At 39.3% G+C, this 14,384-nt stretch overlaps 1 protein-coding gene across 3 annotated transcripts in view; it reads right to left on the reverse strand.

Moving 5' to 3' along the window:
* LOC124904395 (uncharacterized) overlaps positions 1–9,784 on the reverse strand; it is an 81,309-nt gene extending 71,525 nt beyond the window's left edge. For all 3 annotated transcript variants that reach the window (XM_047438030.1, XM_047438029.1, XM_047438028.1), the window contains exon 1: positions 9,192–9,784. In XM_047438030.1, coding sequence (XP_047293986.1) covers positions 9,192–9,424 — 233 coding nt within the window. In that variant the 5' untranslated portion in view covers positions 9,425–9,784. The remainder of the gene's footprint in view (positions 1–9,191) is intronic.
* Between the last annotated feature and the right edge of the window lie 4,600 nt (positions 9,785–14,384).

Below are 14,384 nucleotides of genomic sequence, written 5' to 3' on the forward strand. Positions count from 1 at the left end.
AGGAGAATTGCTTGTACCCGGGAGGCAGAGATTGCAGGTTGCAAGGAGCTGAGACCGTAACATTGACAAGAGTGAAACTCCATCTCAAAAAAAAAGAAAAAAAATTAATACATGAAAGTTACAAACTTCTAGAGATGAAAAAGACAATATCTGAGATGAAGAATACACTGGATGGAATTAACAACAGATTAGACACTGTAGAAGAAAAAGTTAGTGAACTTAAAGACATAGCAATGAAAATGATCCAAAAATAAAACAAGAGAAAGAAGACAAAAAGTGAACAGAGCATCAGTGATCAATGGGAAAAATTTAAATGACCTAATATATATGTAACTGAAGTCCCTAAAGGAACGGAGTTATAGAGGGCAACAAAAATTTTTGAAAAAATAATGGCTGAAAATTGTCCAAGTATAATGAAAACTGTAAACACACAGATCCGGTAAGCGTAACAAATCCAAAGCACGAGAAACATGAAAGTAACCACACCTAGGCACATTTTAATCAAATTGCTTAAGATCAGTGATAAAGAGAAAAATTTATAAGTATTCAGGAGAAAAAAGAACATTATATAGAGAGAAACAAGGATAAGAATGAGAGCATAACTTGAAAATTAAAAGACAACAGAGAAGCCAGGCACAGTGACTCGTGCCTGTAATTCCAGCACTTTGGGAGGCTGAGGAGGGCAGATCACCTGAGGTCAGCAGTTCGAGACCAGCCTGACCAACATGGAGAAACCCCATCTCTACTAAAAATACAAAATTGGCTGGGCATGGTGACGTATGCCTGTAATCCCAGCTACTCAGGAGGCTGAGGCAGGAGAATCACTTGAACCCGGGAGGTCGAGGTTGCGGTGAGCCGAGATGGCATCATTGCACTCTAGCCTGGGCAACGAGAGCGAAACTCCATCTCAGAAAAAAAAAAAAGACAACAGAGCAACATCTTTAAAGAGCTGAAGGAAAAAAAGAGCAGTCACCTGGAATTCTACAACCAGCAGAGTAGGTTTCTTGTGCATACAACCCGTGTAGTCACACAGGGCTTTGCACTCAGAAGGACTGGCTTGGTTTAATGCTCTGTTGTTGATGACTTGAAATTCTTAATAATATTTGAACAGAGGGGTCTACATTTTTATTTTGCATTGAGCCCCACAAAGTATGTAGTCAGTCCTGATAACCAGCAAGAATATCTTTCAAACATGAAGGTGAAATAAAGACTTTTTCACATACAAAAGCTGAAAGAATTTTCCCACCAGCAAATCTGCACAAGAATAAGAAGGATTAAAGAAATTCTTTCAGGCAGAAGGAAAATGATACCAGATGAAAATAATGAAGAATATTGGAAATGGTAAATATGTCAGTAAATATGAAACTTTAAAAATATCTTTTACATCACTAATCAGTAAGGAAATGCAAATCAAAACCACAATGATATTTCACTTTATACCCATTAGGATGGCAATTATTTTAAAAAACAAAAACAGAAAATATCAGTGTTCATGAAGATATGGGGAAACTGAAACCCTTGTACACTGTTGATGGGAATGTAAAATGGTGCAGCTGCTGTAGAGAACAGTATGGTCTTTCCAAAAAATTAAATATAGAATTACCATATATGCAATAATCCCTCTTCTTTTGCAACCCAAAAGCATTGAAAACAGGGACACAAAGAGACATCTGTACATCCATATCTGTTGCAGCATTATTCACAGTGGCAAAAGGTGGAAACAATTGAAATTTCCATTAACAGATGAATGGATTAATAAAATGTTGTATAAACATACAATGGAATATGATTTGGCCTTTTAAAAGGTACATCATTATAAGCCTGAGCAACAAACTGAGACCCCATCTCTACAAAAATATCAAAAAAATTGCTTGTAATCCCAGCCATTTGGGAGGCCAATGTGGGAGGATCGATTGAGCCCAGGAGGTCAAAGCTGCATTGAACCATGATTGTGCCAGTGCACTCCAGCCTGAATGATAGAGTAAGACTATCTCACACACAAAAAAGTACGTAATTACAACACATGCTACAACACGGATGACCCTAAAAGAGATTATGCCAAGTGAAATAGGCTGGAGACAAAACAACAAATATATGATCCCACGTATAAAAGGTGGCTAGAGTAGTCAAATTCATAGAGCCAGAAAGTAGAATAGTGGTTACCAGGAGGTAGGGGAGGGAGAATGGGTAGCTACTGTTTAATGGATACAGAGTTTCAGTTTTGGAAAAAGAGAAAATTTTGGAGATGGATGGTGGTACTTGTTGCATAATAATGTGAATGTACTTAATGCAACTACTGACCTGTACACTTAAAATGGCTAAACTGGTAAATTTGTGGGGGAAGAAGAGTTTATTTAGTTCTTTTTTTTTTTTTTTTTTTTGAGACAGAGTCTTGCTGTGTCACCAGGCTGGAGTGCAGTGGTGTGATCTTGGCTCATTGCAACCTCTGCCTCCCTGGTTCAAGCGATTCTCCTGCCTCAGCCTCCCGAGTAGCTGGGATTACAGGCGCATGCCACCACACCCAGCTAACTTTTGTATTTTTAACAGAGACAGGGTTTCACCATGTTGGCCAGGATGGTCTCCGTCTCCTGACCTCGTGATCTGCGTGCCTCAGCCTCCAAAAGTGCTGGGATTACAGGCGTGAGCCACTGTGACTGGACTATTTAGTTCTATTTATTCATTTATGCAATGATGGTCTCAGCAGTAGGTAATAAAATATAACCTTATATTTAAAATTCATTTTTCATTTTGAAAGGTTTGGATCTTTGTCTCTTCTTTCTACTTTACTATTTTATTTATTTATTTATTTATTTATTTATTTATTTATTTATTTTTAATGGTGGTGGATCTGAGATCTACCTTACTGTTTTAAATACTTAACTCCGACCAAATAGAAGATAAATACAAATTGTATTCCCTTACTTTTCTCTAAGGCCATGCTGGTACAACTAGAATTGGCTCTTTAGAATGTAGGTATCATTTATAGTAAGCTGGAGATTTGATCACAGAATGATACATGTAAGAATGTCATAGCACAAAAAAATGCACAGATATTTTTAAAAGGACAAATTTCAGGACACTTTCCATCTGAGTTCATAAGAAAGTCCTCTTGAGTATCCTTCAAAGTTAAAACCCTCTCCCCTTCAGATTAATGAAAATATTAGGATGCATAGAACACAATGGGCACTGGTGATATGGCCCATGGTAGCTGAATTAGATTGAGTATAAATGAAGTCTTCACATAATAGCAAAGAGGCCAACAGAAGAAAGGCCAGAAAGCCACTTGAAACTCATGTCCATGGAAGACCAAATGAAGTTGATTTAACTGTTCCCTTAGAAAGATATTATCCCATTGCTTAGCCCTCAAAGTGCTCATACTGCTACTTTCCTTCTTTATATCACCAGTTCTGGGAGCAAACCTCCTGAAAGAATGGAAGTATAGACTGTAAATACAAGACTGTGGGTACAGCAAAGGGGCTCTGATGCTCTAGTTGTTTGTGTCTAGATACTGTCAAATGTCCCTTGTGATGCACAATTGCCCTTAGCGGAGAACCATTAACCAAAATAAATGAAATAATATGTCATGTTCATGCATCAGAAGACCCAATGTTGTTAAGATATCAATTCTCTATAAGTTGATCTATAGACTCAATGTGACCCCAATCAAATACCCCACTGGCTTTTTGTCTACATTTACAAGTGAATTCTGAAATGTATATGGAAATTCAAAGAACCTAACACAATGAAAACAATTTTGAACAAGAAGAGCAAAGCTCAAGAATTTGACTACGTGATTTCAAAACGTATAAAGCTACTGTAACCAAATCAGTTTGGTATTAGTCTAAAGATGGATAAGGGAGGCTGAGGCAGTAGAATTGCTTGAACCCAGGAGGCGAAGGTTGCCGTGAGCCAAGATTGTGCCACTGCACTCCAGCCTGGGCAACAGAGTTAGACTCCATCTCAAAAAAAGAAAAAGGAAAAAAAAAAGGCAGATAAATAAATCAGTCAAACACAATAGAAACCCAGATACAGACGATTATATATGTGGTCAATTGATTTGAACAAAGGTGCTAAGGCAATTAAATGGAAAAAGGATAGTGCTCTTAACAAACAGTGTTAGAACAACTGTACATCTACATGCAAAAAAAAAAAAAGATAAAAAAGAAAAAAAAAAACACCTTGATCACAATATACAAAAGTTAACTCAAATGGATCATAGGCCTAAATGTAAAAATGCAAAACTATAAAACTTCTAGAAAAAAATAGAATATTTTTGTAATCTGGATTAAGTAATGATTTCTTAGATATGACATTAAAAGCAGAACCATAAAAGAAAAAACTGATAATGTTTATTTACCACAGCAAAATTTTAAAATGTCTGGTCTTCAAAAGACACTGTTACTAAAATGGAAAGACAATCTGCACAGTGGGAGAAAATATTTGCAAAGAACATATATAATAAAACTTGCATTTAGAATATGAAATGAACCCAATGAACTCAGTGAAACCCAAACAACTCAATGGAAAATGGGCAAAATATTTCAACAGACACTTTACCAAAAATATGTAGATAATAATCAAGCTCATGAAAAAAAAGCTCAATATCATTAATCATTAGGGAAATTTAAGTCAAAAAACCATAAGATTTCACACCCACTAGAATGGCTATAATATAAAAGATGTACAGTAACAAGTATTGAGAAGGATGTGGAGAAATGAGAACCTTCATACATTGCTAGTGGGAATGTAAAAGGTACAACCCTTTTGGAAAACGATTTGGCAGTTTCTTTAAAAGCATGCCTAGTGTTATATACCCCGAGAAATGTGCCCAAGAGAAATGAAAGACATGTGCACAGATAATTATAGCAACTTTATTTGTAATAGCCATAAAACTGGAAACAACTCAACGAATGGTGAATCAATAACGTGTAGCACATTCATACAATGAAATACTACTCAGCAACAAAAGGAAATGAGCTACTGATACCCACAACAGCATAGATAAGTTTCAAAATAATTATGCTGAGTGAAAGAAGCCAGACAACAACAAAGAGTAGATACTGTATGATTCCATTTATATGAAATTCTAGGAAATGCAAAGTAATATATAATGACAAAAGCAGAGGGGCGGGAAGGAGGAATTTAAAAAGGGCAGAAGGAACCTTTTTGGGATCATGGATAAGTTCGTCATCTTGATTGTGGTGATGATTTCACAGGTATATACATACGTTGAAACTTCAAATTGCACACTTTAAATTTGCCCAGTTTATTGTATGTCAGTTATATCTCAATAAAGCTGTAGAACAGCAACAACAAAGAGATGGCTAGACAAGCATATTACAGTAGTTGAAGTTTGATGTTAGAAATTCACTGAATCTTCTCTGAAGTCATTGTCCTCTGACAGTTGTCTGCAGGTTTCAAGCTATCCACCTACACAGAATGTGCAATCTGCTGGGCTTCAAAAGCACACATTGAGGCAGATGGCCAACAGCTGACAATTCACTTAATTTCTCTTTTTAAATAGTTATATACTTGAAAAAGGATCGAGTTTGAATTAAATCCTCACAGAAAATTTCTATCACAGCATGGGATTCACTTCAATAAAGCATCTTCCCACTGTCATAAATCTGCTTGTGTTCTTTTGGCAAAATTTTCTTCCCACTCAACCTGGCTTTGTTATCTTGTCAAGCCAGACAAAAATTCACCTCCTGTATAAAGCCGTCTCTGATCATCTGCCTTTTTAAATTTTTAAATTTTTTAATTTTTCTTTTTTGAGATGGAGTCTCACTCTGCCACCCAGGTTGGAGTGCAGTGGTGCAATCTCGGCTCACTGCAACCTCCGCCTCCCTGGTTCAAGTGATCCTCCTTCCTCAGCCTTCTGAGTAGCTGGGATGACAGGCGCACCACCACACCCAGCTAATTCTTTGTATTTTCATTAGTGATGGAGTTTTACAATGTCGACCAGACTGATCTCAAACTCCCGACCTCAAGTGATCCACCGGCCTTGGCCTCCCAAACTGCTGGGATTAACAGGCATGAGCCACCGTGACCGGCCTCATCTGCCTTTTAGCACCATAGAGAGGTGCCATTAACCACCTGGTTTATATTGCCAGCATGTAGGGGCTGTAATATGGTACCCCAGCCCCACCTCCCTACCCCATCATTATTTTTTCTTAAAGAAAATAAGCTTGCCACTTAGAATTTAAACTTTACAATTAAGATAAACTGATTTAGAGAATAAATGTAGACACTTGAAACAGTCACAAGGATCCCCAAACCAGATTATAATCTGACTGAAAATATTAGCATATCAGAGATAGAAAAAGAGATGTACCTAAGAAGGGAGGACAATCATCAGTGGACACTTACTGTCCAGGAAAAAAGAACCTATGTGTACACCTTGATGCTCTGAAGCTATCAAATTATTTGAAATTTAGAATCCACTAATTAATTCCTCTTGCTCTAGATTCAAGTTTCAAAAACAACCTTTTGGCTGTAATTTGGCTCTCAAATGTGGCACATATACCAAGAGATATTTTGCTGGGATCATAAAAGAGAGTCTAGTTCCCTAAGATGTTAAAATTCTCATTATAAATTAGTAATTTGTTATTCTGGGTTTATATAGTAGTCCTGTGATTTATCAGTTTAAGAAACAGACTTGGCTGGGTGCAGTGGCTCATGCCTATAGTCTCAGCACTTTGGGAGGGTGGGGTGGTAGGATTGCTTGAAGCCAGGAGTTTGAGACCAGCCTAGGCAACATAGCAAGACTCCATCTCTACACAAAATAATTTTTTAAAAGTAGCCGGAAATGGTGGTACACAACTGTGATCTCAGCTACTTGGGAGGCCAAGGCAAGAGGATCCCTTGAGCCCAGGAGTTGGAGACTGCAGGGAGCTATGATTGCACCACTTCACTCCAACCTAGGCAACACAGTGAGACTCCATCTCTGAAAAAAAAAAAAAAAGAAAGAAAGAAAAAGAAAAGAAACAGACTTAACAAGTTAAAGACCAGATTTCAACATATTTTCCAAGATAATGCCACTTTCTATGGCCTGTTAGGGAAGTCAGCTTTCCTTGGAGAAATAGAGAGAGAGAGAGAGAGAGGGAGAGAGAGAGAGAGAGAGAGAGAGAGAGAGGTCTACAGTTCATCTTTCTGTTACAGCACTTACTCCATACTCCAGTTACTGAAGCACATTATAGAACTACAGATTCTGAGTTACCTGAGGGTAGTTTTGTATCCAGTTTGTGCTGGCCTCCACCATCATTGCTCAATAAGTAACACTGAACTGAACTGAATTTGGATAACGTGCAAGGCTGCTTTTTTACATTTTTTAGTTGATTGAGAGTTAGAAAATCGTACCAAAAACACCACTCCCCAAGTATAACCTCTAATACGCTAACATTCATTAAACCTCTAACACTATAGCTAAAGTTGTTACATTTTTTAAAGTACGCTAAACTGGGGAATTGATTTTTAAATAAAGGGCAAAGTAGCACTAACCTCAGTCAAGTTGCTGTAAGTGTTTCATTTGGGAATTGTGAAATTTTTTAAAAACATTTCAAGACTTATCATTACATCAACGAAGATGAATATAGGTGTAGTTTGTCAGATGAGTAACTATTAAGGAAACCATGAATGTTTGCTATCTACTTTCACAATTAAACCACAATTTAGAGGATCAAATTCTAACCCTATAAACTTTTTTTTAACCAAAGACAGGGAGAAAAATCATACTCTTGTGATAAGGAGTCATAATTCATTTTAAATTCTGCAGGATTAATGCTGCTTTCCAGATAAGAAGAATTCACCCCGTGTGCGTAAGGTGATTAAGGAGCCTTGGAATTATAAATACACATTCAGATTAATTTTTTTGTTCTAAGCTTTAAATAAAATTTCAAAGTATTTTATAAAATAATTAACATCCCATAGATATGCTTTTTTAAAAAAGTAATTATGTCTATAAAAGTAATTTGTATAAGGCAATAAAAATTTTACTTTATAAAAAAATCAAACAATGAATACTTTTTGCTTAATTCTTTCTTAGGAGCAGTAATTTATTATGGGTTCCTTAGAAGACATGTGATTTATTTAAGCTCTATTAACTGAATGTGAGTCTGTTTTCTGACATAAACAGTGGATAGTGTTATGAAAAAATAAAATTGTCAGTGAATAGGCTAAATTTCATAGTTCACAAATATAGCTATCCTGAACATAGAATACAGATCCAATGAACATTTAGTTTTATAATTAGCACTGTTTTAATCCAAATTCCAATTTTATGCATGGGAAACTGAGGCCTAGAGAAATGAAGTAACTTTTTACAGACCCGTTAGCTCAGAGGCTGGAATCACTAGGCCTGGTAGTTTGATTTATGAGTACTACCTTCCATGAGATAAAAAGCTAAAAATGCTGTGATGAGGACATGTTTATTTCTAAAAAGCCTGCAGCACAATCTATCTCTTCTCCCAAAAATCGTATGTATGACAGATTTTTATGTTACTGCTGCTACACGAAGAAAATTGAGCCTAATATGTTCGGTCTTCCAGGCCAAAGCAAAGGATTGATTTTAGAAGGAACTTGTCCTGCATGGCCTCCATCCAGCCATCAGGCAGGGCTCCAGCTCTGCAGGGGAAAAAGAGATAGCCCAGGAAGAGGGAATCACCACCCACCCCACCCTGCGATCTGTATCTAAGAGAAATAACCCTGAAAAGAAGAGCTATAAGAGATGGCAGTGTGTGCTTTCGTCCGGGTGCACTTCCCGATCCTTCAACTTTCATGCCCATCTCTGATGTTTCCATCCTGGTATAGCCTTCTGAGTCATGTGTTCATCTCTCCTTTGGCTCAACCCAACAGACACAGCCTGCAATCTCACCTCCGTCAACACAGCAAATGTCTGTGTCTCAAAGACCTCGAGATAGAGCTTCCTATGCTTTAACCCTTCCAGGGGCACACCTTTATTTCTGGGCAACTCAACACTGTCCCTCCTCCTGCCTCCACCACGGGCCCCATTACCTCCCTACCCTTCTCCAAGCAGTAGTCACTCAGCGCCAACCCCTCTCAGGCGTCGGGATCTTCAGTCCGGGGCCCCAGCCCTCCGCGCGGTTCTCCTGCCCAGCGCACCGTGCGTTGCCACCCCCATCGCGTTCCTCAGCCTCCCGGGCTCCAGAGGCAGGAGCTGGCCATGCTCTCACCTCATCCAGGGTGTGGCCGCCGCAGCTGCTTCTTCCTCCTCGGCCGCTGCTGCCCAGCTCCCGGCTGGCTCCGGGCGCCGTCTTTCCCGGCTCGGGGTCTGCCGTGGGGACTGAGGGGTTCGCGTCGCGTCCCCGGACCGGTAAGGCGTGTAGTGAGCCCGGCGGGACGCGCGACAGCAGCAGCCAAAGTCGCATCGGCGGCGGCAGCAGGACCCGCTGTCTGTGCCCTTCATGGATTTCCTGGGCCTGGCCACCCCAGTCCTAGCTACGGTTCCTGCTTGTTTTCCTGGTGTTTTCCGGGACTGCCAGGGCGCATCCTCTGGGCCTGGCTGAGCATCCCCGTCAGTTCCCTGGGCCTCCTCCGCGGCTGCCTCTGCCACCTGCTCCGCCCAGATTGCTTTGGTCCTTCTCCCGCAGACACACTCAGCTGCCCTTCATCCTCTGTCGTCTCCCCATTCTCTCTCCACCCACTGCCTCATTCCCAGATCCCACGCCGTTTCTTCCTTTCTATCCGCTCCAATGTCACCTTCTCTTTATTTCCAACCTCAGATAAGTTTCTCCTTTTCTTTCTGTCTCTCTCAATATTTTCCCCGGTTTCATCCTCCTCCCCGTGCCCCCGTATCAGTCATCCTTTTATAATTTATCCAGTTTTTCGTCTCCTATTAGTTCCTCAGAATCACTACTGCAGGTTGTTGGCTAGCCTCTTTTCTTCCTCTCCCTGTTTCTTTCTCTTTCCTAAAATCTTTTCCTTTCAATTTTCCCTTGAGTTTTTCAATTGTAAAAACTTTCTCCCAAACAACCTACATTTTCCTTTCAGTTGAGACTGATTGCAGTTTTCCATGAACTCATAATAAAGCATATATAGCTTGGTATCCACCATAAACCAAGAAAGTGTTTTAACCTTTTTTTAAAGTTGGTCAGTTAAATAAATTATCCCATAAATATTCATTCTGAAAATCCAGTTCTTATATCCTACATATGTCCTTGAAAACAGAGACTAGTTTGCTTTTGTATCCAGCAAAGCAAAATGTTTCTGCAACACTATTGCATATAGCATAAGTTCAGCAGGGGAGGGGGAGCAAGGTTTGTCTTTGTAGTTGGGCACTGTGGATCTCAAGGTTCATAGGCAACAGCTATTATTGTTGACTGACTGAATGCAGACAAAGCTGAATTCATCTCAGCTCATCCTTCCAAATCTGTTGCTCAGTTCTGTGTTTTAACCCCAGCCCTATCTACCCAGCTGCTCAATCCCCAAACCTAGAATTTGTCAGGGACCTATTTCTCTTTTACCCATCTCATCCAGTCATTAATTCTACTTTTTTACTCTCTCCCTCTCTCTCTCTCTCTATAGATAGATAGATAGATAGATAGATAGATAGATAGATAGATAGATAGATAGATTTTTTTTTTTGAGACGGATTCTCACTCTATCACCCAGCAGGCTGGAGTGCAGTGGCACGATCTTGGCCTACTGCAAGCTCTGCCTCCTGGGTTCAAGCGATTCTCCTGCCTCAATCTCCTGAGCAGCTCGGATTACAGGCACCTGCCACCACGCCTGGCTAATTTTTGTATTTTTAGTAGAGATGGGGTTTCGCCATGTTGGCCAGGCTGGTCTCGAACTGCTGACCTCAAGTGATCCTCCCGTCTCAGCCTCCCAAATTGCTAGGATTACAGGCGTGAGCCACTCACCTGGCCCATTCTTTCTTTTAAGCCTCCTAACTTAAGCTTCATCTTTACCTCTCCTTATCTTTGTCCAATCTGTCTTATCTGGGCTCTTTGTCTAACAACCTCTACCAGAAAATTCTTAATTATCTCTTATTGTTTTGTATCTTCTTCCTCTCCTTTTCCATTAGCTTCATCCCCAGCCCACAAACATGCTTAACTCTCCTCACTCTTAAAACAAAGTCCTTCCCTCTCTACCTATCACCATATCTCTCACTTCCCTTCACATCCAATTTGTTTAATATATTGTGTTCATTTGATGTCCACACTTTCTGACTTCCCAATCATTCTTTACCTCCTAATTTTCTGCAATCAGGCTTCTAATCCTATTGCTTAACTAGAGGTATTCTCCCAGAGGTCCTGGCGAATTTCATGTCAGGCATAGGTAGGCAATGCCAGATCAGTTGCCCCTAGTTTTTCTCCCCGCAACAAACGAATTCAGATCTAAGAAAAAAAAAAAAAAAAAACCTGTGGTATCAAGGCCACCACATTGCAGAGCACTCAACCGCCATTTAACCTACATAAATAGCACCTTACCCACTGAAGCCTGCACAACTAAAAACAATGGCCTTGAGTGGTAGGGCTAAACTCTTGGGTTCATGCGGTTTATCCAAATGCAGGCTGAAGAGGAATCCCCATTATATGACTCTAGATTGATAAATTACCTAGTTTTGATTATGGCCTTAGATTTTAGAGATTCAGACTTTGGTTTTGCCCATAGACACGTGGTAGATTTTATCTAACACACAAATTAAAAGGAATAGGGCTCCATAACTTAAAGAGAATAAGCCATCTTTTGTAGTTGTGGCAGATAAACAGTTCAGTGAAGTTACTGCAAACCCACAGCATTCATTACTGCTATGAAGTACTGAGACCTCCAACTCCAGCCAAGATGTAGTAGTATATATCAAACTAAACCTCCCACTTCAGGGGGAAAGTGGGATAAAATATGCATAAATATTTACATATTTGTATATATTTATATGTGTGTGTGTATATATATATATAGTCATGCAATGCATAACCAAGTTTTGATCAAAGACAGACTGCATATGCAACTGGTGGTCATATGCAGTTGCATATGACTTGCTATACATTTTCCAAGTTTAGATGTACAAATACCTACCATTAGGTTAAAATTGCCCACAATATTTAGTACAGTACCATGCTGTACAGGTTTCCAGCCAAGGAGCAATAGGCTGGGTGTGTAGTAGGCTATACCATCTAGGTTTGTGTAAATATATTCTGAATGTTCATACAACAGTAAAATTGTCTGATGATGCATTACTCAGAATGTATCCCTGTCATTAAGTAATACATGACTTTATACATATACGGATGGTCCCCAACTTACAATAGTTTGACTTAAATTTTTTTGCCTTTATGATGGTGTGAAAGTGATAAACATTCAGTAGAAACTGTACTTTGAATACCCATACAACCACTCTATTTTTCATTTTCACTACAGTATTCAACAAATTACATAATCAACACTTTATTGTAAAATAGGCTTTGCATTAGATAATTTTGCCCAACTGTAGGCTAACATAAGTGTTCTGAGCACATTTAAGGTAAGGTAAGTTAAGCTATGATGTTTGGTAGGTTAGGTGTATTAAGTGCATTTTTGACTTACAATATTTTCAACTTAGGTTTATTGGGATATAACCCCATCATAAGCCTAGGAGTATCTATATATCTATATCTATAATTCTTTGGAGGCATTGAAGAGTAACTAAACCAGGCGGAACTTAAAGCTATGATCCTGGAGAGAAGGCACATGAGGTGAACTCAGTGTTTACCCTGGAATATTTCTCTTGAGGGAATGCTCAAAACTAAGTGCAAGACAATAAAAGCCAAAAAAAAAAAAATACAGCAGTTTTTCTGGGCTGAAGAATAAGAGGCTGTATTAGTCTATTCTCACACTGCCAGAAAGAACTACCTGAGATTGGATAATTTATGAAGAAAAGAGATTTAATTGACTCACAGTTCTTCAGGTTTAACAGGAAGAATGACTGGGAGGCCTCAGGAAACTTACAAGCATGGTGGAAGGTGAAGGGGAAGCAAGCACGTTTTACCATGGTGGAGCAGGAAAAAGAGAGTGAGGCGGGAAGTGCCACACACTTTGAAACCATCAGGTCTCATGAGAACTCACTCTCACTATCATGAGAACAGCCTGGGGGAAATCTGCCCCCATGATCCAATCACCTAATACCAGGTCTCTCCCCCAGCAGTGGGAATTACAATACAGCATGAGATTTGGGTGGGAACACAGAGCCAAATCATATCAAAGGCCAAAGTTGAGGGCTACCAAAGTGCCTCTGATTGAGGGCAAACTCCAAGAGGGGAGAATTGCAGAGGAGCTCAACAATCTATGCAAATTGCCATCATGATAGTGATCTAAGTTCCTACACTCAGCATGCACAAAGAAAGATGCCAAAAAAAAAAAAAAAATCAGAAAACAGCAGTTTAGGGTCTAATGAGGTAAGTGAAGATTTCAGCATCCAACAGAAGTTGGACTTCAAGCCTTGATAAGGTACCTAGATACCCAGGGTTTTCAGTTGAGATCTCAGCACATCCTTGGAGTAAGAGCAATATAATACTGAAATAAAATAGATCTAACAAAGCTTGAAACCAAGCCTTTTCAGGATCAAAGTTATCTGCCACTATTCTTTCTACTTTCCAGGAGTAGAAAGTAGAAACTCTATGGAGGTAGGTAACATTATCCAGAGTCTACAATTTTGTCTTATACAATATCTGGGATCCAATACAAAATAATTATGAGCCATGCAAAAGATCAAATCCAAATGACTAAACACTAAGAGAAAAACGTTAATAGAAACAGAACTAGATATTAGAATTGGCCAGGACTTTAAATAACTATAATTAATAGTTTTAAGAAAATAGAAGAAAAGGTGGACAAAGATGAAAGATGGGTAATTTACTTCAGTATAGAATTGGAATCTGTAAAAACAATTATTGGACAAATATTCTAAAACTAAAAATTACAGGCCGGACACGGTGGCTCACGCCTGTATTCCCAGCACTTTGGGAGACTGAGGCAGGTGGATCATGAGCTCAGGAGTTCGAGACCAGCCTGACCAACATGGTGAAATCCCCGTCTCTACTAAAAATACAAAAATTAGCTGGGCGTGGTGGCATGCACCTGTAATCCCAGCTACTCAGGAAGCTGAAGCAGGATAATTGCTTAAATCTGGGAGGCAGATGTTGCAGTGAGCCAAGATCACACCACTGCATTCCAGCATGGGCAACAGACAGAGACTCTGTCTCAAAAAAAAAAAAAATTACAATAACTGGAAATAAGAACCCTTTGGGTGTGCTTAACAACAGTCTGAGTACAGCAGAAGTCAGGATTCATGAACTGGAAGACAGGTCTGTAGAAAATATCCAAACTGAAGGACAGAGAAAAAGGAAAAGAACATAACAGACCTCAAAAACACAGTAAAAATGTCT

The sequence above is a fragment of the Homo sapiens genome, chromosome 1 (genome assembly GCF_000001405.40).
Source record: "Homo sapiens chromosome 1, GRCh38.p14 Primary Assembly".
Taxonomy (NCBI): Eukaryota; Metazoa; Chordata; class Mammalia; order Primates; family Hominidae; genus Homo; species Homo sapiens.